Source organism: Homo sapiens, chromosome 8, assembly GCF_000001405.40.
Source record: "Homo sapiens chromosome 8, GRCh38.p14 Primary Assembly".
NCBI lineage: Eukaryota > Metazoa > Chordata > Mammalia > Primates > Hominidae > Homo > Homo sapiens.
This window is the reverse complement of record NC_000008.11, coordinates 35,593,883-35,620,068: the sequence shown is the minus strand read 5'-3', so window position 1 is coordinate 35,620,068 and position 26,186 is coordinate 35,593,883. Positions and strand designations below refer to the sequence as shown.

The 26,186-nt window shown below is 40.4% G+C and overlaps 1 protein-coding gene across 18 annotated transcripts in view; it reads right to left on the bottom strand.

Annotated features, from left to right (window-relative positions):
* UNC5D (unc-5 netrin receptor D) overlaps window positions 1-26,186 on the bottom strand; it is a 561,066-nt gene that overhangs the window by 176,472 nt on the left and 358,408 nt on the right. For all 18 annotated transcript variants that reach the window (NM_001438417.1, NM_001438418.1, NM_080872.4 and 15 more), the window contains exon 4: window positions 24,412-24,515. In NM_001438417.1, the coding sequence (NP_001425346.1) occupies window positions 24,412-24,515 (104 nt within the window). The remainder of the gene's footprint in view (window positions 1-24,411; window positions 24,516-26,186) is intronic.

The following is a 26,186-nucleotide window of genomic DNA, read 5'->3' as shown; positions in this document are numbered from 1 at the left end:
TTTTGTTGCTACTTTTATTCTGAATGAGGGAAGGGCAAGGACACCCATTAGAGGACCTGTGCTGAGCGAATGAGCTGAGTTGAGGCAGTCATGCTTACAGGCTGCAGAGCAAGGCTAGGGCTGGGCCACACTGCTCTACATCAGGAATACAAAGCATCTACACTCTCTACACTGTCTCTCATAATCTCCGTGCAACAGGTGCAGTAGAAAGAACAAAAGAGCTTGAAAAGACAGACCTGGACTTGCTAAAGATAAGGAGTCCGGGGACTGTGGTCACAGCATCTGGCAGAGCAATTCTAAAAGGAGGTGTCTTCTAAGAGTTACTGATTCTTAAGATTGTATACAAGTCTGAAATCATTTACAAACAGTTTGTAAAAAGTTAGTTCCAACAATGATGCAAAGACAAATCACACCTATTTGTAACTTCTGACCAGCTGCCCAGTTGCAACTGGATTACCAGCTCCTTAAAATAACAAACAATATGGACACTGAAACAGACAGACAGACACATAAAGCTTGAGAAGCAAGTCGCTCAATGGCTCCCTACCACCTACGAGTGAAAAGTCCAGTTTTTTTTCAGGATGGAAGACAAGACACTTTGTGATCCAATGCCTGACTATTTTCTAGAGTCTCTGCTTCAGTGATTCTCCCACTTGTGCCTTAGGTGCTCTCAAAATGAAACTAATTGAACTTCCTGGGCAACCATGCCATTTCATACCTGCATGCTTTTGACCATGCCGATCTTGCTTCTTGACTGTTCTGTACAAACTCTCACCACAATGAGCTCATTCATACTTCAAAAGCCTATATGGGAATTATATTCTGCAATGTCTTGGTTGATCACCCTGGCCAACAGAAGTTATCAAATCCCTTCTATATTAATGCTGTTATGATTATTATTATGAGTAACACACTCTACTTTAGATGCTTATTTACATATTTATTTCATTTGTTGGATGCTTGAGCTTGTCAGGAACAGACCATGTCTCATTTATTACTGTATCCTCCGAGGCAAAGAAAGCATTTATTAAATAAATTGAAATCTGTAGTAAGACATTAAAGCTGTAGCAGATCAAGCAAGATGCTGTCCATGAATTGTCTTTGAACCATGCTCTGATTTCAAGTACAATAAAGTTGACCCAGCACCAATGGGGGTGTGGAGGGGCAGGGAGTAATGTGATACAATAGACAGGAAAGACACAACCCTGCCATAATGTCTATTTCCTTACTCAGCAACTTCATGGCACGCAGTAATTAACAAAGTGTCAGGTAGTGGCAAGATTTAGGCTTTGAAACCAAAGAGAACTAGACTCTTACCATCTGACAAACTTTGGGGAAGTTACTTAACCTAAGCTTCAATGACCACATCTGTACAATGAAAAATAATAAAGTACCTAACTCAGCTGAAAGAATACAACAGAATCACATAGTTAAATACCTAGGAGAAAGCCTGGCATGTGGGTCCTCAATGTATGGTAACTAACCATGATCATCAGTAATGAGGATTCTGTCATTTTGGCAGTTCACACAACTCAGTGAAATGCCATATAAATAAAATCTAGTATTTGTCAGCTCCCATCTCTACTTTGAAGTCTTTTCTCTCTTTAGCTTTTATTATTCCTTTGTAAAAATCTATCATTACCATCACCGATCTATAGCACCAATTCACATTGCCTATTAGTCTTATGAGTTAATTAAAACTGAGAATGGAAGCTCTAAGAAGACAGACTTTCCCAGACCAATGTACAATGTGCATTATCATTTAATAATCCTTCTAAAAATATCCCGTTACTGTAACTACGGCATCTCCACTGGTACCTAGATAACAGCGTTGAAAAAAAAGATTAAACTGATCGCCTAAGCCCACAGATGACTGATGAACTAGAGTGACTGCTCTTGTCAAGTTCTGGTGGTATTATGCAGATCTGTTTTTTGTTTCCCTGCAGCAGCATGCCAGAGCTGCCTCTAGAAGGTGATCTCCAAATGATGCTGTTGAGCCAGTATATGAATCGTCAGCCTGACACTTCCTGCACACAGAAATTAAGGTTTAAGCCATCACTTGTAACTCACAAGGGCCAGTGCTGGCAGCCCACAGAGGATGAGAAATATTGCACATGATTAATAAATGCATCTATAGAGAGAATCTGTTGAGAGGACTGACAGCCAGATCTGGAAGCCAATACTGAATCAACAATTAAAAGAACAGTTCCAAATCAGTTAAGCCAGAGCCAAGAGAGACTCAGTTATATTTAAATCAAAATTCACCACAGCAGGGGATTCTCAGCTGTTCAGTTCTGAATGTTGGATGTTTTTCTTGGAAGCTTAACTGATAGAACCAAGTGAATCTGAGTTACATGCAATGGGAACGGTGCAGCTGCTAAGCTGGGGTGGTGTGCCTGTAATCTGTGCCGTGGAAGCCACTGCAATTTGCACAAATCAAAGCTCTGGGAGTTTCAATAAGTCACTCATTCACTCCATGTACTGACTGTGCTGAATCTAAGGTAGCTCTGAGGGAAGATCACAGCTCCGTAGGATTTTACAGGGTGGAGAGGCTTGAGAGCTGTGCAATGCAATGAAAGAGGCCATCTAGGATTCTTTTAGCAGTTACAGATTCTAGAACTGAAGCTCAACTGCAGTAAGATCAGCTGGGTGTATTTCAAAAGTACACGTAGGCAGGTGCTCATTCTGCAGGTCTCTACCTGTGAAGAAAAAATGGTCATGCTCTATTTTACTAGCAGTTACGCAGAAAACTCTCCAGGGTGGGGGCAAGTGCACCTTCTAGTCACCAAAATTGGCTAAAAAGGAAAGAAGGTGGCATTTCTTCCTAAACAGATGATACACAGAGCAATTAGGATGTGGGGATCACAGCAAAGGATCACCAGCAGAAGCTGTGGCTGTGGTGATTGTGGCCGTTGTTTATCTGTTTTAATAAGCTCAGCCTAAGAAACAAAGGCAGTCTACATTTGCTAAGTGAATCGGGGTGGTGTGTGGTGCGCTTCATGGAAACACTAAAATCCATGCTGCCTCAGCAGGATTGGGATGAGTTCTTGATTCATGCCCATGGAACATTACTGCTGAATTACAGATCTGCAGCTCCTTATGTGGCGGCATCCCAGACTGCTTTTACTTCTGCATAATTCAAGATATAAAGACTGTTTATTGCCGCTAATGTTAATTTAAAAATCATACATTTCCTTTTCTTATATGAGGTTTCTTTAAAAATGCTTACTACCAACTGACTGCTGGCCTTCGGATCTTTCCTCCAAATCGCCTTCTCTCTGATCCATTTGCTGCTTCTGTCAATCAGAGAAACCTTAAGCACAACGTGCAAATTTTATATTTTTGAAAAACCCTATGTTGGTACAGGATAACGGATGTAATCTCCTACAAGAGGAAACAAATTGGAGAGGAGATGGAGGAGAATAAAGACAGGTTTTGTCAATAGTGTCTCTCCCATCCCATCAAGGCCTGCTCAAAGTTGTTACCAGCACTAAGCAACCCTGCCAAACCATCTCTAGAAGCTGAAAGTAGTGCAGAGTCCAATGCCATCAAATCGGGAGAGTTAACTGCAATCGGGCAGCAGTAGAGCTCAGACCGGGAATCACAGACATGCCCAGCAAAATGGAGGAAAAGCAGGAGGCTTGTATGTTCTTGTGCACACACACACATTCATAAATGCCATTCTCTTCCCTTCTGCTTAGCTTTGTATGCAATGAAATCAGATGGTGAACTAAAGACAGGCATGCTATCCGACTCTGCTGGTGCTCAGCACACAATATCTGACACATAAAGCGCTTTATCAGGTAAAGTTTAACAGAACAGGCTCTGAAGTCAGGCTGTCTGATACAAATATTGGCACAGATCACTCGGTATCTACCTATGCCCTTGAGTAAGCCGCTTGACCTCTCTGAGGCTCAGTTTGGTTATTTATAAAACTGGCATCTAGGCGCTTCAAAAAGTTGGGAAGATTCGGTGAACAGTGGCTGGCATTGAGTACACATGTACTAATGTTAGCTAGATAGCAGTTTCTCAATGGATGTATATATTAAATGAGTCTATCAAGGATAGCAATATTAGGGATATTGGTATATTTATCTATCAACAAATGGTAGCTTTAAGGATCGGATGAGTCCATGTATATGAGAATCTTTGTAAATTGTAAAGTGATATTCAACTTTAAGAGTTTACTACTATGTGCAGCCCACAGTGGTTGTGCAAATATTCATCCTCTGAGTCACATATGCTCCCCAGATATCTACCATAGTTTTAGATGCCTTTATGTTATCTACTGAGGGTGATGGGAGAGGATACTGAAAAGTATACTGTGCATTTCCTATCCTGAAGAGAATTAGAAAATATGACACACAGGCATGAAAAATTAAATATAAGAGAAAAATTTTAAAAAGCAATATGCTATAAAAGCCTTTAGGAGGGAAAAAAATGCTGTCCTTACTTGAGCAGTTCATGCCAGTTAAATTAGGATTTATAGAAAAGAGCCAAGATCGTGCCACTGCACTCCAGCCTGAGTGACAGAGCAAGACTCTGTCTCAAAAATTAAATAAAATAAAATAAAAGAGAGATCAGCGTCACCTGGGAAGGGCAGGGAAGAACTCAGAGACTGACTGGGTTACAGCAGATCCTCCTAGGCTGTGTAAACCACAAACAGATGGATGAGGGCAAGGACATTCCAAGCAAGGAGAAATAATGAGGACACAGAGAAAGGTCTGGAAATAACATTGTCAGAGAGTCATTCTTAGAAAGAAAGAGGGCTGATAATGTAGAGCTGACAGGCACAAAGAAAAGAGGAAGCAAAGACAAGCACCTAGGAAAGCTTTGTAATGTTATCTCTGGCCCCACGCTGGAGTGCAGTGGACTAGTCATGCCTCGCTACAGCCTCAACCTCCTGGGCTCAAGCAGTCCTCCTGCCTTAGCCTCCTGAGTAGCTGGAACTACATGTGTGCGCCACCATGCCAGCTAATTTTATTTTTTTAGTTTTGTGGAGATCGGGGGGTGGGGGACGGGGGGGGGGGGGCCCCTCACTATGTTGCCCAGGCTGGTCTTGAACTCCTGGCCTCAAGCGATTCTCTTGCTTTGGCCTTTCAAAGCACTGGGATTACAGGTGTGAGCCATCACACTCAGCTGAAAAGTGTAATTCTAACGTCCATGCTTCTGACCCTTCAGAAGTACAGAACAAGAGGGAAAAGGAAAATAAACACCAATTAGGAGCTTTAGATATCTTCTTTCCTTTTCTTTTTCAGTAAGGAACTAGAGCTTCCCAGCTAAAGACGTGTCAAAAGTCAGTCAATTAATAGGACTTATTTAAGGATCAGTATTAATGATGAGGGTATTTGGGCTGTAGACACACACTTTTAAAATAACTTATATTAACCTCATTTTCTTATCTCTTTTACCATAGCAAATTTTTTTATGGAAATGTTTTCAGAGAAGTCATTTACTGGTCCTTAATTACTAGCGTTTAACTAGTAAAACTCACTTTTTTTTTTAGAGTGTATTAGTTTTCTATTATAATATACATTCTAACCAAATATGGCTTTCTGCAAAGGTCCTCATTGTCAGTCTCCTCAAAGCAAAGTTTATGTGGACTATTAGACATTCTTTCTGCTTTGGCTGCACCAAATTAGATTAATTATTTATACCTGAGGCCCACTGCTTCAGAACATGGACACCCCCACTTAACCTTTCTCTAGTGAATTATTAAGAGTCTTACTTTTAAAATAAAATCCTCATTTCATAGTCTGTTTGATTGAGGTTAAACACAATAGTCTAGTGATTCCTGTATTAAACAGTCCAATGTCATAAGACTCTCTCCTGGGTTTTATGCCAATGAGCACATTTGAAACAAATGAACCTTTCATTAAGAACACCCTCACAGGGGAGAAGGGTAAAGAGCTTCTCGCTTGAAAACTGTCTGGCACCAGTCTGGGCAGAATTATTAAAACAGCAGGCAAGTCAAAGACAGTGTGCAGATTCTACTGTTAATACATCAGAAATAATTAGAAATAAGAGATATAAAAGGAACTTTGGGGTCCTCCCTCTTTATTCTACAGACAAAGAAAGATTAACACCCCACACACAGTCTTTAGCTCAGAGTGACTTGCTTTGTTCCAATGGATACTTTCAAATATTTGTCAAAGACATTCTGAAAGTAATAAGAGATGGCATAGGTACCAAAATGTGCAGGGTTTTTGTTTGTTTGTTTTTGAGACAGTTTTGCTCTGTTGTCCAGACTGGAGTGCAGTGGCACCATCTTGGCTCACTGCAACCTCCGCCTCCCAGGTTCAAGGTATTCTCATGCCTCAGCCACTCAAGTAGCTGGAATTACAAGCATGCACCACCATGCCTGGCTAATATTTGTATTTTTAGTACAGATGGGGTTTTGCCATGTTTCCCAGGCTGGTCTTGTACTCCTGGCCTCAAGTGACCCACCCACCCAAAGTGCTGGGATTACAGGCGTGAGTGACCATGCCTGGCCAGGTTTCTTCACTGCAAACAACAAACTCTGCTCTGGCCGATTTATGTGAAAAATAAATTTATTAAAGAGTATTAGTAGTGCTCAGAACCTCCAAGTGGGCCAAAGAGCCAGGTGAGGCTGCTAATTGGCCAGAAATAATGTTGAAACACACCATGGGGAAAGGTACACTCAACAACGACTCCTGCAGTGCAAAAAACATGAGGCCAGGAGCGGTAGCTCAGGTCTCTAATCCCAGCACTTGGGGAGGCCAGGGTGGGCAGATCACCTGAGCCCTAATGTTTGAGACTGGCCTGAGCAACATGACAAAACCTCACCTCTACAAAAAGTATAAAAATTAGCTGGGCATGATGGCGCGTAGTGGTCCTAACTACTCAGGAGGCTGAAGCAGGAAAACTGCTTAAGCCTGGGAGGCAGAGGTTGCAGTGAACTGTGATCGTGCCACTGCACTCCAGCTTGGGAGACAGAGTGAGATTCTGTCTTAAGCAAAATACAGAGCTCACAACCATGAGACGTGGGTGAGGTGCTGGTTCTTCTACCTGCCCTGAAGAGTGGGGTACCTCTGCCACCATCCTCTGCAGAGGGTTTCCACAAACCCACAGCATTCACTCCCCATCCCATCTTGTACGAGACCACCTGACTGCAGGGACCTAACTGCAAAGAAGATTAGAAAAGGCATTTGTTGGGCTTCTATCTTAGGTAAGTGAAACTTAAAAAGAAATTCCCCAAACATTGGAAAACATGACAGATATCCATGTGTCCCAAGATTAATAGGCCTTCTCAAAACCTTTTTTTACAAAACCTTTGTAGGATTCCTGAGACAAAGAAGCAAAAAAAAAAAAAAAAAAAAAAAAAGGCAAAACATTTAGCAGTTTCTAATACTAAATAAATGGTAAAGATTATTTTGATTTCTATTGTTCCTTCTTCTTTCATTTTTAAAGCTTTAAGAACCTTTGATTCTCCCAAAAAGATGTAAAACCCCATTATGTTTGGGGAACCAGATTAAAACAGAAAATTCTTATAATGTCTAACATGTTTTTAGCCATTTGAAGAAGTAGTGAGCTGCTAAGACCTTCATTTCCTCTTCTCAAAAGCCTTCATTTCCAGATAGGCATCTGGAAATCAAACAAGGAAAATGATCTCCTTTCCCCAATTACCCACCCCACCCTGTCACCCCCAAATTTGGTTCCTAACACTTGCATGACTTCAGCATACTTTATCATACAAAAAATACATTCTTTCATTCTGCTCCTAGTGATCAGCCAATGACAAAGCTGATTTGGGGCTGAGCAAGAAGCAGAGAACCTTCTCCTTATCTGTACTGCATTGACAAAAACCCTTGACCTTCCCGAGTTTTCTAATTCCAGCATTATCTTGACTCTTTGGTGAGATTAAAAACAAGAATAGTGCCTGGCATGCAGTGCCTCAAGGCTAGAATCTGTCTGTTGCTTAGCTTTAAGGCCTGAATTCTCAAAGACACTGAATTATTTTGAGTAGGCTGTTTACCTTGATGTGAGCAGAATTAGCCTTAGACACTAAGCCTTTATGGCAACTTTTATTGTCCAAGGCAAATATAACCTGTTAAGATTTACAGGCTGTATTAACAGCGATAACCATTTTACAGCCAACATCAGTAAATCAGGGTTTATTGAGAACTCAACAATTTTAATCTGTGGAAAACCATTAAAATGTCGGATTTTCATTGGACATAATTTCTAACTTTTATGAAAGATAGATTTTCCATTAATTAGGGAGTATAAAAAAGTGCAGTGTGGGATAATGAATTGTTTTGAAAAGAGCAAATTGGTTTTAGCTAAACAACAAGGGTCAAACATTAAAGTTGCTATCTTTAGTTAGAACTGCCACCAAAGTTAAGGCTAAAAATAACTGCAGTGACAAATATGTTCTAATACATCCAGCTATTAGGATGGGCTCATGAAGTTTAGAAACATTTGTGTTGTCATTCATTCACATTTCAGGTATTTTGTAAAACAATGTGTGTGACCCATTTTGTAAAAAATTCATGCGACCTATTATAAGTTATCTAAGCCAGTGTCTAAGTAAGTGTAATGAGAACCTTCCAGTTCAGGTAACATTTTCATAAAGTGTTTTAATAACAATAATATTACTCATAAGATACTTCAATGGTGGTAAGTTGAACAAACATTGGTGGTCACCAGCCTTCATTAATAATTATTTAATTCCTCTATGTGACAGATTACAAGAGATGGGGCCACGAAGCTTTTTGATAAGTGGCTTTATCTTGACCTTGAAGGACAAGAAGAGAGGGCAATGTTTGGGAGAGGTAGAGCTCACGGGAGTAGGCTGGTCTTAGCAGCTCACTACTTCTTCAAAGGGCTAAAAACATGTTAGACATTACAAGAATTTTCTGTTTTAGTCTGGTTCCCCAAACATAATGAGGCTTTACATCTTTTTGGGAGAATCAAAGGTTCTTAAAGCTTTAAAAATGAAGGAAGAAGGAAGAACAGAAATCAAAATAATCTTTACCATTTATTTAGTATTAGAAACTACTAAATGTTTTGCACTTTTTTTTTTTTTTTTTTTTTTGCTTCTTTGTCTCATAGCAAACCTACAAAGAAAACATTTTTTCTCATTTCCAGAGGAGAAAACTGAGGGTCAGAGTGGCTAATTAATTGCATTACAAAGTTAGTAGCCAGAGTCTGTTGGCTTCAAAGTTCATACTTTTCCCATTGTGCAACCGTGACAATCTTTGGTTCTATTTCTATCATTTCCATACCCCACTGATGTATACTAGGTGAAATGACACTGTCATACAGACACAAGTATGCATTTGTCAGAGTAAATTTGGGGCCTGTTTTGACAATGTGATCTGTCAGGGCTCTGGCCAAATGTAGAGAAAATCATAATGAGGGTAGAGATTGCACTCGGTTCTCTCACTTCTCTTTTTGTATGTCCCTTTTTCTTCTACATGGCCTCTTCTATGTAACTCTAGGCATCCGATCTCCTAGGATAGCATCAAACCTGTGCTCCTTGCCCTTCGAAGGACAGAGTGATGTCCTGTCCCAGGCTCCTTGTCCCCCTCGGCCTCCAAAAATTCCACAGTCTCAGTGCTCTGTTCTTAGTTTTATTATCAGATTACATATTTCAAATAAAGAGGAACAGAATATATAGCAAATTTGAGATTAGGATATTCACTAGAAGATAATTTAATCCAAACACCTTTAATTCTAAGGGTGGGATGATGGCAGCACAGTGGGCAGAGAGACTATCATTGGCCTGGTGGCTCCCAACCTTCAAGAAGGCTTGGTCCAATGAAAAACAAACAAAACCAAAAACGATTAGAGAAAGGACAGATCGAGCTTTAAAGTTGGCTCTTGGTGCTTCCTAGTGACCTGAGAGCTTAGAAAAGTTGCTGTAGGATAGACATGAAAGCTCATATAGCTTTTCAGCATCTCATAGCACTTTTTTTTTTTCAAATTAATTGAGATAACAGAAGATAAACCACCTACCATAGTACCTGGTAGGTACACGAGAACATTTCAAAAATGGTAGCTCTTTCTATTTTTATTATTCATAACACTTTTCTGGTCAGATAAATGAGTTAGTTGCCAAGAAAGTTCTGTCTTGCAGAGAGAAGTCTATTGTATATGTCTTGTGATAACAGAATTTGGACATGCCCCCCAAGGTGACTTTCAATGTGTCAAGTAGGAAACCACCTATTCCACTGAGAGACAAAGCCAGCTGATACACTGGGGGCCCCACCAGCTACATCCCTTTCCAGTGGTGACCCCATGAGCCCCACAGGAGGTGGGCAGAAAGGGAACCAAGTGGTGGCATGGAGAGGCTGGAACATGGCCTACACAAGGAAGATGACTTTGACTGTTAGCATTTCACAGTAATGATTACATGACTGACCAGTTTCTAAACACAGTTCCCAATTACTGCCATACTGGAGAGTCATTACCTATAGTATACTCATATCACTATGAAATTAATAGGCAGAATGATACATACTCGGTGACCTGACCACGTAACAGGCATTGGTAGACATCTCCACCCTAAAGGACACCACGACTGTGGAAGGGTATGAACATTTTCACGTTCCTTCTCCAACTTTAGAATTTCTTAGCTTTCTTCTCTCATTCTGCCTTGTTTTCAGCAAAAACATAGATGCTGATAGCAATGACTTACTGTGTAAGCTACTGCTGAAAGTAAAAGAGCTATAGATATTGGTGCACAGATAACGGTAGCATCCAAATCATGGAGAAAAGAAATTCCAAAATAATGCAAGTGTTTGAGACTAGGATACTGTCCCACATTAAGATGATGTTATACATACCTAACCCCACTAAAGAGTTGGGCAAAGGATATGAATATACATGTTTCAAAAGAAGACATACAAATGGCCAAGAAACATGAAAAAAAGTTTAACATCACTAATCATCAACAAATGTAAATTAAAGCCACTATGAAATACCACAGTGTTATACCAGTCATAATGGCTATTATTAAAAAGTTTAAAAAAAACTGGATGTTGACAAGATGCGGAGAAAAGGCAACTTTTATACAGTGTTGGTGGGAATGTATATTAGTACAACCTCTATGAAAAATAGTTTGGATATTTCTTGAAGAAATAAAAACAGAATTACCATTAGATCCTGCAATCTCACTACTGAGTATCTACCCGCCAAAAAAAAAATTAAATAGATACATGTACTCACATACTTATTGCACTACTATGTACAATAGCAAACATATGAAACAAATCTAAGTGTCCATCAATGAATTTAAAGAAAATGTATACATACACAATGAAATACCAGTCAGCTATAAAAATTGAAATCATGTCTTTTGAAACAACATGAATGGAACCAGAGACATTATGTTAATGGAATGACTCAGACAAAGACAAATACCATGTGTTCTCACATGTAAGTTGGAGCTAAACATGCACATAGAGTTTGAAATGACAGATAGTGGAGATGATGCAGGGTGAGGGGGACATAGAGTGTAGAATAATAGTGGAAACCAGGAAGAGGAGGGGATGGATGATGAGAAATTACTTGTCATTTGGGTGATGGATACACTGAAAGCCCTGTCTTCAGGGCTTACATGCAACCTATGCACGTAACAAAATTATACTTGCACCCCATACATTTATACAGATCAGATTTTTAAAAATAAATGTTTGCTAAGGCATCAATAGCCTATTTAACCCTTAATGTAGCTGAAATACTTTCCATATTCATCTATAATACAACATTTATAAAACAAGGCTTTTGCCCCTTCTCAGCCGAGAATTTCTGTTTTAAACTACCCTAAAGCCCCAGCTGCTCCTTGGAATTAGTTTCTGTTTAATTTCAGCTAGTCTGTGTCTGAAATTTATTCCAAAAAGCATATACATTTTTAAAATAAAAAAGTGATATGATGCCAGAGGTAGAATCGGAAGTGTACTGGGCTAAATAGCAGTCCCCAGACATTCATGTTGATTTGGAACCTGGGAACCTGATCTTATTTGGTAATTGGGTCTTTGCAGATGCTTTATGATGCAGAATATAAAGTATGAGGCCATGCAGGATTACAGTCAGCCATAGTCTAATGGCTGGTGTCCTTATAAGAAGAAATTCAAAGACACAGAGAGGAGAACACCATGTGAAGCTGCAATCGGTGGAGGAAGAGACTGAGTGACGTATCTATGTATTAATCCATTTTCATACTGCTAGGGTTAGGGTTAGGGTTAGGGGTTAGGGTTAGGGTTAATTTATAAAGGAAAGAAGTTTATTTGACTCATAGTTCCTCATGGCTGGGGAGGGAAGAAGGGGAAGCAAGGTACCTCTTCACAAGACAGCAGGAAGGAGAAGTGCCCATCAAAGAGGAAAAAAGCCCTTTACAAAAATGTGCCCATCAAAGAGGAAAAAAGCCCCTTATAAAACTATTAAATATCGTGAGAACTCACTCACTATCATGAGACCAGCATGGGGGAAACTGTCCACATGATTCAATGATCTCCACCTGGTCTCTGCCTTGACACATGGGGATTATGGGGGATTACAATTCAAGATGAAATTTGGATGACGACACAAAGCACAATCATATCAGTATACAAGCCAAGGGACACCAAAGATTGCCAATAACTAGCAGCATCTAGGAGAGAAGCATGGAACAGTTTCTCTTTCAGAGCCCCAGAAGGAATTAATGCTGTTGGATTTCAGACTTCTACCCCAGAACTGTTGGAAAATAAACTTCTGCTGTTTCAAGCCTCCTCAGTGGTGGTAATTTATTACAGCAGCCTGGGAAACTAATATAGGAAGTGAGTAACTACAATTTGGAAATGTGTCAGAAAAGGTAGATACCAGAAAAGAAAACGTGCTTTCTGATACATCTATATTTTGTTCCCTCGTTCCACAGCTCTCCCAAATATTTTTTTCACTGACATTGGACTGCGCTGCCACTGAAAGTTTTTCATATCTTGCTCTCCTCCTTGTGGTTACAGCTGAAAAGCACCCTCAGAAGCAAATGAAGAAAGGGGCTGAGCCAGTCTACAGAGCTCATTTGCCTTCAAGTGTAGGGTGCTGGGGCAAGAAACAGGTAGGGATGTGTAAAGAGCTGCTTCCAAGCATTCACCAGAGTTCAGCCTCTAAATAACTGAACAGATGGGCATGCTGCTCACCTCCTAGAAGCCAGCCTGTCCTCTCATAGGAATCCTCTACCAATCTCAGTCCTGAACAGCCACAGAGTTCCTATAATTCATAAGTCCCCTGCATTCTCTCAAAAGATGCTTCAGTGTGGGTGGCTGGGTATGCACACTCATGTGTGCATTTATGAAACAAAATGTATTTTTGCTTTTGGCTGCTATCTTACCAGACTGCACATCCTTTATTCTTCTCTCTTTTGTTCTTTCTTTTTTAAATTTATGTCTTCAACAAGCAGTGGGGGTGGTAAGTGGGAGCTAAACACTGAGAACACATGGACACAAAGAAAGGAATGATAGACATTGGGGTCTACTCGAGGGGAGAGGGTGGGAGGAGGAAGAGGATCAAGAAGCTACCTGTGGGGTACTATGTTTATCACCTGAGTGATGAAATAATCTGTACACCAAACTCTTGTGACATGCAATTTACCCATATAATAAACCTGCACATGTACTCTTGAACTTGAAATGAAATTTAAAGAAAGCCATAGACAACAGCACAGAGTGAACCTTAATGCAAACTCCAGACTCTCCTTAATAAGAATGTATCAATATTGGTTCGGTCATTGTACGGGATGTACCACATTCATGTAAGTTGTAATTACAAAAAAAGGAAACTGGGTCAGGTGCGGTGGCTCATGTCTGTAATCCTGGCACTTTGAGAGGATGAGCTGGGTGGATCATGAGGTCAGGAGTTAGAGATGAGCCTGGCCAATGTGGTGAAACCCCATCTCTACTAAAAATACAAAAATTAGCCAGGCATGGTGGTGGGTGCCTGTAATCCCAGCTACAGAGGAGGCTGAGCCAGGAGAATCATTTGAACCCAGGAGGCAGAGGTTGCAGTGAGCCGAGATCACACCGTTGCACTCCAGCCTGGGCGGCAGAGTGAGACTCTGTCTCAAAAAAAAAATAAAAAATAAATAAAAAAAAAGGAAACTGAGGGGGAAGGTACAGGAGAACTTTATGTAGTACTTCAACTTTTATATAAATTCAAAATAGTTTCACCTAATGTCTATTAATTTAAAAGCGTGGCAACACTGTCTCAGGAAAAGCTCCATTTTAGTTAATGTTTAACAATCAGCCAAATGTCTAAATATTGTATTGAGGTGCTCTTTACTATTAAAAGTTAATCAAACTTGAAGTGAAAATAAATTTTTATTTCTTTAGTTGTAGAACTAGTGATTGAGTTAATAAATTTATATTTGCATATATGGGTAGAGCCCACCACAGCTCAAGGAGGCCTGCCTGCCTCTGTAGGCTCCACCTCTGGGGGCAGGGCACAGACAAACAAAAGACAGCAATAACCTCTGCAGACTTAAATGTCCCTGTCTGACAGCTTTGAAGAGAGTAGTGGTTCTCCCAGCACACAGCTTGAGATCTGAGAACAGGTAGACTGCCTCCTCAAGTGGGTCCCTGACCGCCAAGTAGCCTAACTGAGAGGCAACCCCCAGTAGGGGTGGACTGACACCTCATACGGCCAGGTACTCCTCTGAGACAAAACTTCCAGAGGAACGATCAGGCAGCAGCATTTGCGGTTCACCAACATCTGCTGTTCTGCAGCCACCGCTGCTGATACCCAGGCAAACAGAGTCTGGAGTGGACCTCCAGTAAACCCCAACAGACCTGCAGCTGAGAGTCCTGACTGTTAGAAGGAAAACTAACAAACAGAAAGGACATCCACACCAAAAACCCATCTGTACATCACCATCATCAAAGAACAAAGGTAGATAAAACCACAAAGATGGGGAAAAAACAGAACAGAAAAACCGGAAACTCTAAAAAGCAGAGCTTCTCTCCTCCTCCAAAGGAACGCAGCTCCTCACCAGCAACGGAACAAAGCTGGACGGAGAATGACTTTAACGAGTTGAGAGAGGAAGGCCTCAGAAGATCAAACTACTCTGAGCTAAAGGAGGAAGTTTGAACCAATGGTGAAGAAGTTAAAAACTTTGAAAAAAAATTAGACAAATGGAAAACTAGAATAACCAATGCAGAGAAGTCCTTAAAGGACCTGATGGAGCTGAAAACCATGGCACGAGAACTACGTGACGAATGCACAAGCCTCAGTAACTGATGCGATCAACTGGAAGAAAAGGTATCAGTGATGGAAGACAAAATGAATGAAATGAATCATGAAGAGAAGTTTAGAGAAAAAAGAATAAAAAGAAACGAACAAAGCCTCCAAGAAATATGGGACTATGTGAAAAGACCAAATCTACGTCTAATTGGTATACCTGAAAGTGACGGGGAGAATGGAACCAAGCTGGAAAACACTCTGCAGGATATTATCCAGGAGAACATCCCCAATCTAGCAAGGCAGGCCAACATTCAAATTCAGGAAATACAGAGAATGCCACAAAGATACTCCTCGAGGAGAGCAACTCCAAGACACACAATTGTCAGATTCACCAAAGTTGAAATGAAGGAAAAAATGTTAAGGGCAGCCAGAGAGAAAGGTCGGGTTACCCTCAAAGGGAAGCCCATCAGACTAACAGCTGATCTCTCCGCAGAAACTCTACAAGCCAGAAGAGGGTGGGGGCCAATATTCCACATTCTTAAAGAAAAGAATTTTCAACCCAGAATTTCATATCCAGCCAAACTAAGCTTCATAAGTGAAGGAGAAATAAAATCCTTTACAGACAAGCAAATGCTGAGAGATTTTGTCACCACCAGACCTGCCCTAAAAGAGCTCCTGAATGAAGCACTAAACATGGAAAGGAACAACCGGTACCAGCCACTGCAAAAACATGCCAAATTGTAAAGACCCTCAAGGCTACGAAGAAACTGCATCAACTAACAAGCAAAATAACCAGCTAACATCATAATGACAGGATCAAATTCACACATAACAATACTAAGCTTAAATGTAAATGGGTTAAATGCTCCAATTAAAAGGCACAGACTGGCAATCTGGATAAAGAGTCAAGACCCATCAGTGTGCTGTATTCAGGAAACCCATCTCACATGCAGAGACACACATAGGCTCAAAATAAAGGGATGGAGGAAGATCTACCAAGCAAATGGAAAACAAAAAAAGGCAGGGGTTGCAATCCTAGTCTCTGATAAAACAGACTTTAAACCAACAAAGATCAAAAGAGACAAAGAAGGCCATTACATAATAGTAAAGGGATCAATTCAACAAGAAGAACTAACTATCCTAAATATATATGCACCCAATACAGGAGCACCCAGATTCATAAAGCAAGTCCTTAGTGGCCTAGAAACAGACTTAGACTCCCACACAATAATAATGGGAGACTTTAACACCCCACTGTCAACATTAGACAGATCAACGAGACAGAAAGTCAACAAGGATACCCAGGAATTGAACTCAGCTCTGCACCAAGTGGACCTAATAGACATCTACAGAACTCTCCACCCCAAATCAACAGAATATACATTCTTTTCAGCACCACACCACACCTATTCCAAAATTGACCACATAGTTGGAAGTAAAGCACTCCTCAGCAAATGTAAAAGAACAGAAATTATAGCAAACTGTCTCTCAGATAACAGTGCAATCAAACTAGAACTCAGGATTAAGAAACTCACTCAAAACTGCTCAACTACATGGAAACTGAACAACCTGCTCCTGAATGACTACTGGGTACATAATGAAATGAAGACAGAAATAAAGATGTTCTTTGAAACCGAGAACAAAGACATAACATACCAGAATCTTGGGGACACATTCAAAGCAGTGTGTAGAGGGAAATTTATAGCACTAAATGCCCACAAGAGAAAGCAGGAAAGATCTAAAATTGACACGCTAACATCACAATTAAAAGAACTAGAGAAGCAAGAGCAAACACATTCAAAAGCTAACAGAAGGCAAGAAATAACTAAGATCAGAGCAGAACTGAAGGAAATAGAGACACAAAAAACCCTTCAAAAAAATCAATGAATCCAGCAGCTGGTTTTCTGAAAAAACCAAACACCCCATATTCTCACTCATAGATGGGAACTGAACAATGAGCACAAATGGACACAGGAAGGGGAACGTCCCACTCTGGGGACTGTTGTGGGGTGGGGGGAGGGGGGAAGGGATAGCACTGGGAGATATACCTAATGCTAGATGATGAGTTAGTGGGTGCAGCGCACCAGCATGTCACATGTATACATATGTAACTAACCTGCACATTGTGCACATGTACCCTAAAACTTAAAGTACAATTACAAAAAAATAGATAGACTGCTAGCAAGACTAATAAAGAAGAAAAAAGAGAAGAATCAAATAGACGCAATAAAAAATGACAAAGGGGATATCACCACCAATCCCACAGAAATACAAACTGCCATCAGAGAATACTATAAACACCTCTATGCAAATAAACTAGAAAATCTAGAAGAAATGGATAAATTCCTCGACACATACGCTCTCCCAAGGCTAAACCAGGAAGAAGTTGAATCTCTGAATAGACCAATAACAGGCTCTGAAATTGAGGCAATAATTAATAGCTTACCAACCAAAAAAAGTCCAGGACCAGATGGATTTATGGCCGAATTCTACCAGAGGTACAAGGAGGAGCTGGTCCCATTCCTTCTGAAACTATTCCAATCAATAGAAAAAAGAGGGAATCCTCACTAACTCATTTTATGAGGCCAGCATCATCCTGATACCAAAGCCTGGCAGAGACACAACAAAAAAAGAGAATTTTAGACCAATATCCTTGATGAACACTGATGCAAAAATTCTCAATAAAATACGGGCAAACCAAACTCAGCAACACATCAAAAAGCTCATCCACCATGATCAAGTGGGCTTAATCCCTGGGATGCCAGACTGGTTCAACATACGAAAATCAATAAACATAATCCAGCATATAAACAGAACCAAAGACAAAAACCACATGATGATCTCAATAGATGCAGAAAAAGCCTTTGACAAAATTCAATAACCCTTCATGCTAAAAACTCTCAATAAATTAGGTATTGATGGGACGTATCTCAAAATAATAAGAGCTATCTATGAGGAACCCACAGCCAATATCACACTGAATGGACAAAAACTGGAAGCATTCCCTTTGAAATCTGGCACAAGACAGGGATGCCCTCTCACCACTCCTATTCAACATAGTGTTGGAAGTTCTGGCCAGGGCAATCAGGCAGGAGAAGGAAATAAAGGGCATTCAATTAGGAAAAGAGGAAGTCAAATTGTCCCTGTTTGCAGATGACATGACTGTATATTTAGAAAATCCCATCGTCTCAGCCCAAAATCTCCTTAAGCTGATAAGCAACTTCAGCAAAGTCTCAGGATACAAAATCAATGCGCAAAAATCACAAGCATTCTTATACACCAATAACAGACAAACAGAGAGCCAAATCATGAGTGAACTCCCATTCACAACTGCTTCAAAGAGAATAAAATACCTAGGAATCCAACTTACAAGGGATGTGAAGGACCTCTTCATGGAGAACTACAAACCACTGCTCAATGAAATCAAAGAGGATACAAACAAATGGAAGAACATTCCATGCTCATGGGTAGAAGAATCAATATCATGAAAATGGCCATACTGCCCAAGGTAATTTATAGATTCACTGCCTTTCTTCACAGAATTGGAATGACTTTCTTCACAGAATTGGAAAAAACTACTTTAAAGTTCATATGGAACCAAAAAAGAGCCCACATTGCCAAGTCAATCCTAAGCCAAAAGAACAAAGTTGGAGGCATCATGCTACCTGACTTTAAACTATACTACAAGGCTACAGTAACCAAAACAGCATGGTACTGGTACCAAAACCGAGATATAGAACAATGGAACAGAACGGAGCCCTCAGACATAATGCCGCATATCTACAACTATCTGATCTTTGACAAACCTGACAAAAACAAGCAATAGGGATAGGATTCCCTATTTAATAAATGGTGCTGGGAAAACTGGCTAGCCATATGTAGAAAGCTGAAACTCGATCCCTTCCTTACACCTTATACAAAAATTAATTCAAGATGGATTAAAGACTTAAATGTTAGACCTAAAACCATAAAAACCCTAGAAGAAAACCTAGGCAATACCATTCAGGACATAGGCATGGGCAAGGTCTTCATGTCTAAAACACCAAAAGCAATGGCAACAAAAGACAAAATTGACAAATGGGATCTAATTAAACTAAAGAGCTTCTGCACAGCAAAAGAAACCACCATCAGAGTGAACAGGCAACCTACAGAATGGGAGACAATTTTTGCAACCTACTCATCTGACAAAGGGCTAATATCCAGAATCTACAATGAACTCAAAGAAATTTACAAGAAAAAAACAAACAACCCCATCAAAAAGTGGGCGAAGGATATGAACAGACACTTCTCAAAAGAAGACATTTATGCAGCCAAAAGACACACGAAAAAATGCTCATCATCACTGGCCATCAGAGAAATGCAAATCAAAACCACAATTAGAATCTCACGCCAGTTAGAATGGCAATCATTAAAAAGTCAGGAAACAACAGGTGCTGGAGAGGATGTGGAGAAATAGGAACAGTTTTACACTGTTGGTGAGACTGTAAACTAATTCAACCACTGTGGAAGTCAGTGCAGCAATTCCTCAGGGATCTAGAACTAGAAATACCATTTCAACCAGCCATCCCATTACTGGGTATATACCCAAAGGATTATAAATCATTCTGCTATAAAGACACATGTGCACGTATGTTTATTGTGGCACTATTCACAATAGCAAAGACTTGGAACCAACCCAAATGTCCAACAATGATAAACTAGATTAAGAAAATGTGGCTCATATACACCATGGAATACTATGCAGCCATAAAAAATGATGAGTTCATGTCCTTTGTAGGGACATGGATGAAGCTGGAAACCATCATTCTCAGCAAACTATCCCAAGGACAAAAAACCAAACACCTCATGTTCTCACTCATAGGTGGGAATTGAACAATGAGAACACATGGACACAGGAAGGGGAACATCACACACCAGGGACTGTTGTGGGGTTGGGGGAGGAGGGAGGGATAGTATTAGGAGATATACCTAATGCTAAATGACGAGTTAATGGGTGCAGCACACCAACATGGCGCATGTATACTTATGTAACTAACCTGCACGTTGTGCACATGTACCCTAAAACTTAAAGTATAATAATAATAAAAAAAGAAAATATATTTTTATTTCTTTAGTTGTAGGACTAGTGATTGAGTTAATAAATTTATATTTGCATATATGGAAAAAAAGCAGGTAGGAATGTTTTCTTCACCTGTTAGTACCCAATCATGAGAGAAAGACAAAACAAAACAAAGCCAAAATGTTGTCTAATGCATTTTACATTTTGTGTAGGGCTAACCCTGGGATAACCTTAAATATTCATCAATATAATTAGCAGACTAATTTCCCTTCATATTCAATAAGTATTTATTGAACACCTGGATGTGAGAAGCATGTTTTTTAAATTTATTTTTTAAGCTAACAAATTGTATATATTTTTCATGTATAACATGTTTTGAAATATGTGTGTACTGTCGAATGGCTAAATAAGGCTAAATAATGTATGTATTACATCACAAACTTATTGTTCTTTTTGGGATGCAAACACTTAAAATCTACTCTTAGCATTTTTAAAGAATACAATACATTGTTATTAACTATAGTCACCATATTGTACCACAGACCAATAAACATAGTCCTCTCTAACCAAAATATTGTACCCTTTGACCAATGTCTCCTCAACCTCTCCCCATCTCCGCAACATGTGGTGACCACCATTCTACTCTAGTTCTGTGACTTCAGCTTTTTTTTTTTTTTTTTTTTTTTTTTTGAGACAGAGTCTTGCTCACTCACCTAGGCTGGAGTGCAGTGGCATGATCCTGGCTCACTGCAACCTCTACCTCCCGGGTTCAAACAATTCTCCTGCCTCAGCCTCCCAAGTAGCTGGGACTACAGATGTGCGCCACCACACCCGGCTAATTTTTGTGTTTTTAGTAGAAATGGGGTTTCATCATGTTAGGCAGGCTGGTCTCAAACTCCTGACCTCAGGCGATCCACCCGCCTTGGCCTCCCAAAGTGCTGGGATTACAGGCATGAGCCATTGCACCCGGCCAACTTCAGCTTTTTTAGGTTCTGCATAGAGGTGAGATCCCGTGGTATTTTTCTTACTGTATCTGGCTTATTGCACTTGACATACTGCCTGCTTGGTTCACCCATGTTGTCACAAATGACAACATTTCCTTCTTAAAGGCTGAATAGTATTCCATTGTGTGTGCATAACACATTTTTAAAATTCATTTGTCCATTGATGGACAGTTAGGTTGATGCCCTATCTTACCCATGGAGCTATTGTGAACAGTGCTGCAATGAACATGGGGGTGCAGGTATCTCTTCTACATATTGATTTCATTTGCTTTGTATATATACCTAGTAGTGGAATTGCTGGATCAAGTGGTAGCTCTACTTTTAACATTCTGAGGAACGTCCATACTGTTTTCCATAATGGCTATACCAATTTCCATTCCCACCAACAGTGTGCAGTGGTTTCCTTTTCTCCACATCCTTGCCAACACTTGTGAAAAATCTTTCACCTTTCTGAAAATAGCCTTGAGCAGCACTGCTTCATGTTCTGAGGATACAGCAATGAAGAAGAGTAAGCACAAATTTCCCTCACTGAATTTAAGTTTCAGTGGGGTAGAGAGAAATAAGCAAAGTAAATACAGTATGCTTGTGATAACAGGTAAAAAGAAAGTATATACCTAGTAGGATAAATTGCTGGGATAAAGCAGGGAAAAGGTGGAGTGGGGGAAGCAAATATTTGCAACATTTGCAGAGTGTACAGAGCAGGCCTTACTGAGCAAGTGATATCTGAGTAAGCCTTTAAGAAAGATGGGACAAAGCAGTGTGAGAACTGGGGAAGAGCCCTCCAGCAGAGAGGCCAGCACATTCAAAGGCCCTGGGGTAGGAGCATGGCTGGTGCATCTGAGAGAGATTGAAGGGGCCAGGGTGACTGTAGCGCAGTCAAGTGCACAGTCAAATAAAATATATAAGGTCACACCAGGCCAGATTATGTTGAATCTTGTAAAGCACTATAAGAACATAGACATTTACCTGGAGTGCTTTGGAGTAGCTTTGCAGGATTTTGAACAGAGCCCTTAAATGGCTGCAAGACCTTTGGTTGGTCACTAATACAAGCATCAGTTTTCCTGCTTCTAAAATGCAAAGGTTATGCCAGTAAATATCTAAGTTATCTTCCATCTGAAAAAAAAGTAGATCAATAGAGACCTAGAGTATGCGAAGTTCCTACAGGCTGATGGCTAATCAAAACATTAGCACCCCTCTCTGCTGCTGCCAAAGTCAATGGTAGTGACCCGGCACAGAACCAGAAGGAAACATGGGTGTACCAGGGGACACTCACACAGCTGGCACTACAGAGCCTAGACATTTTTATGCATAAAACATTTGTAAACTGGGATTTTTGAAAGATGGGCACTGAATGTAGAGAACTGCTGATACCTCTGTTAGGCTCCTAGGAACACATGCGATGTCCTAAATGAGAGGGATACAGTCCCTTGCCTGACACTTAACACCCTGTTCAGGAAAGGAGGGCATGCTGTTTGTAGGAAACAATAGGGCAGCAAAAGGAGATCAATATCTTTTTTGTTTGACATTCAATAAAAAATTTTTAAATAAGCATTTTCCTTTCTAATCATTTTACATCATGCATGGAGTGTTCACTTTAATTTTCAAGTCCGTTTACTTCATTTCTGTGAGCCATTTGAGCTTTGAATAGTGTCCACCCAGCATGCTTTCTAAATATGCAAGTATGTGTGTTTTTTCATTCCCCTTTATTTTATCTCCTTTTTTGTCCTGCCAATTACAAAATCCCAATTTTACTAAAATATGAAGCAAAGCCTCCTGGTTTTTTCTTTTTCTTTGTATATCTGCTTCTCCATGAATAAACAATAGCTCTAAACACTGTTTCCTAGCTTCCCATAGAAGAGTCAAACCTGGACCATGTGCTGCTGAACTCAGGCCTGTGAAAGGAAAATAAACCTTGGGGCCCCCAAATCACTAAGCTAAAGGGAAAAGTCAAGCTGGGAACCGCTTAGGGCCAACCTGCCTCCCATTCAATTCAAAGTCACCCCTCTGCTCACTGAGATAAATGCATATCTGATCGCATCCTTTGGAGAGGCTAATCAGAAACTCAAAAGAATATAACCATTTGTCCCTTATCTACCTGTGACCTGGAAGCCCCCTCCCTGCTTCCAGGGGAGTTATCCCACCTTTGCTTCCAGTTGTCCAGCTTTTCCTGGACCTGAACCAATGTTTGTCTTACATATGTTGATTGATGTCTCATGTCTCCCTAAAATGTATAAAACCAAACTGTGCTCTGACCACATTGGGCACATGTCGTCAGGACCTCCCGAGGCTGTGTCATGGGCACGCATCCTCAACCTTGGCAAAATAAACTTTATAAATTAACTGAGACCTCTCTCAAATTTTCGGGCTTCACGGGCCTAAATTTATAAACTTTTCATTATATTAAGCATGCCTTATACTTCTTAGTATTTTTCCTCCAATAATAGCTATATTACTAGTCTATCAGGGGTCATCTTTTCATTGTGAATAAAAGATTTAGAAAGACTTTCCTATGACCAGAGTGCATTACCAGGGACAATTATATTCGAATAGTAAGGTAGAAGTTCTAGAAAACATTCAAGAAGCAAAAAACATTGTGACTCTGGATTCTAGACACCTCGCTGTGAAGGAAGGATAACAGATCAGAGGCCTGTGGCTTCATCATTTTTTATATCCCTAATGCCTGCACAGTGCAGAAAACATAACAAACACTCAATAAATGAATGCTTGTTCCACAAAAAAGTGAAGGATGAACAAACACCAGTGACACTGGGACTGGGTCTTCTGACCTTTCCTATGGGCTTTTTCATGTGTGTTTGCCTGTTACAGCTCAGATTTGTTCCATAAGCCAATATGCATATCAGAAGATCTTGACTGAGGACAGAAAGAATGACACCTGCATGATTCAAGGTCCCCAGAACCAAGAAGACAGGTCAAATCCTACCCAGGCTGCCTACCAAGGGCCTTGTGCAAACACAGAAGTAGATGGGAGACAAGTTCCTTTCTAGCTTATTTCCTAGACAATTTCTTCACCGTGTTTAGCAACTGAGCCCAGGCAACAAGAATCCCAGACATGGGCTCCTTTACTTCCCTTCCAGCCACACAGGACTCCGCCCTCCCTCTTGGGAACAGGCCTGGTTCCTCCCGGTGACTGGTCCCAGGATCCTGTCTTACCTCGGCAGCAGGGACTCCCTCTGGTGGGCGGCAGTGCAGTACAATCATGCCTTCAATGGGAACTTCCCTTCCTTGTGGGTCTTGTTCAAAGTTTTTCCGTAAATCTGCAAAGAAGCATGAGATAGGTGACACTTTGTTTCAAGTCTAGTGTTATTCAAATTTGGTCCAAGTACAAAAAAAGTGAGCTTAATATCACAACCTAGACACACACACACAAAAATAAGTCACTTGTTCCAGGAATTCTAGAATAAGAGAATCGTTTTTCCAAATATTCATAAATGCATGTGAAATAACCTGGACAAAACAGTTTCTGATGTCCTATATTGATGTGAAGGATGAAATAAATAACTAGGAGAGTAGGAAAAAAAAACACAGAACACCCCATTGTTTCATGAGTCTTTGCCAGCATTATCTGCTGAGCATCTGATGAAACACTTGGACTAATAAATTGCCATCCACAGCTATTATGCAGTTGAGATGCACATGATTTTTTTCTATTAACTGAAGAGTGCATTATTAATCTGTAACCTCTGCCATTCCCTTAACCCTCTAGGGGGCTCTAGAAGATGCTAATAGAGTGAGATTACCTATTAGTCTTTTTATTTGTAACCAGGGAGAAGGGGCAACATTCAACCACAACAAAATCTATAACCTATCCAACCAAACATATAATTACAAAACACAACGCCCTCCAGTCAAACAGCAATGCTGGGTATTTGGGTAGTGCCCTTCATGGAAGGCTCCAGGCACTTTGCAAACAAGCTGTACTATTAACCTTTTACACATGGAAGGATGACACTTGCAGAGGTTAATTCGCTTGCCAGTGGTCACAGAGAGCATCGATGCCAGTGATGGGGAACAATGCACTAAGCTTCCTGACACCCAGGCTGAGTGTTAACCAGCAAAGCCTTCTCAGGGAAAAGGACATAGATGGACAGTGCAGAAGAGTTTCATTTGCATTGCTTTCCACTTGAGCACACGCTTCATTAAAAAAAGGTGGGGAGTTGGCCTTTACTTCTCTCGAGGTGTCATGACAACTCTTTGATAATCTTGCAGAACGAGGGTAATTCTTGCTGCCACTTGAAAGCACAGGATAGTAGGGCAAAGACAGGTTGTTTACAAGTCTTCCTCAATGTAAAAGATTTTGCCCTCCCTCCCTGACAATGCATTTTTCTTCAAATTGAGTATCTCAAATTACAGGCTGTGAATTTATTGATTTAATTTTCTTCAGTGCTTACAATAACATGAAATATGTTCTCTGTAAAGAGGAGAGCTCCAGAATCAGTTACATCTTTATAAATTGTATAAATACATTAAACTTGCCTTTAGCAAGTCAAAAACACTCAATGAATAACAAGCACGGCAAGCCATGTATTCACTTTCCTCCGAATTTTACTCTTAATGCTTTCCCTCCCAGAGGCAACCAATGTCTTTTGTTAGTAGCAGTGCTACATATTCGGAGGTCTTCATGAGTATATATAAGGCAAAGATCTTAAAACAACTTGAACTGCAGGTGGGTGACAAGATCCATTCTCTCATTTCTCTGCTGTCCCCTGAGTTTTAAAGCCAGCTTCCCTCTATCCGGGAACCGTAAATTGCCACAGCCCGTTTGATTCAGGACTTCTGACTCCAAGTATGATGAAGGTCACATACCTGATAACAAAACTGTGAAGGTTCTGTGAATAAACCCAGAATGAAAAATCTCACGCTTCCCACACAATTCTCCTCTGCTGTCTCACAAGGGATCTTTGGGTCAAAAATCCTTCCTCCATATG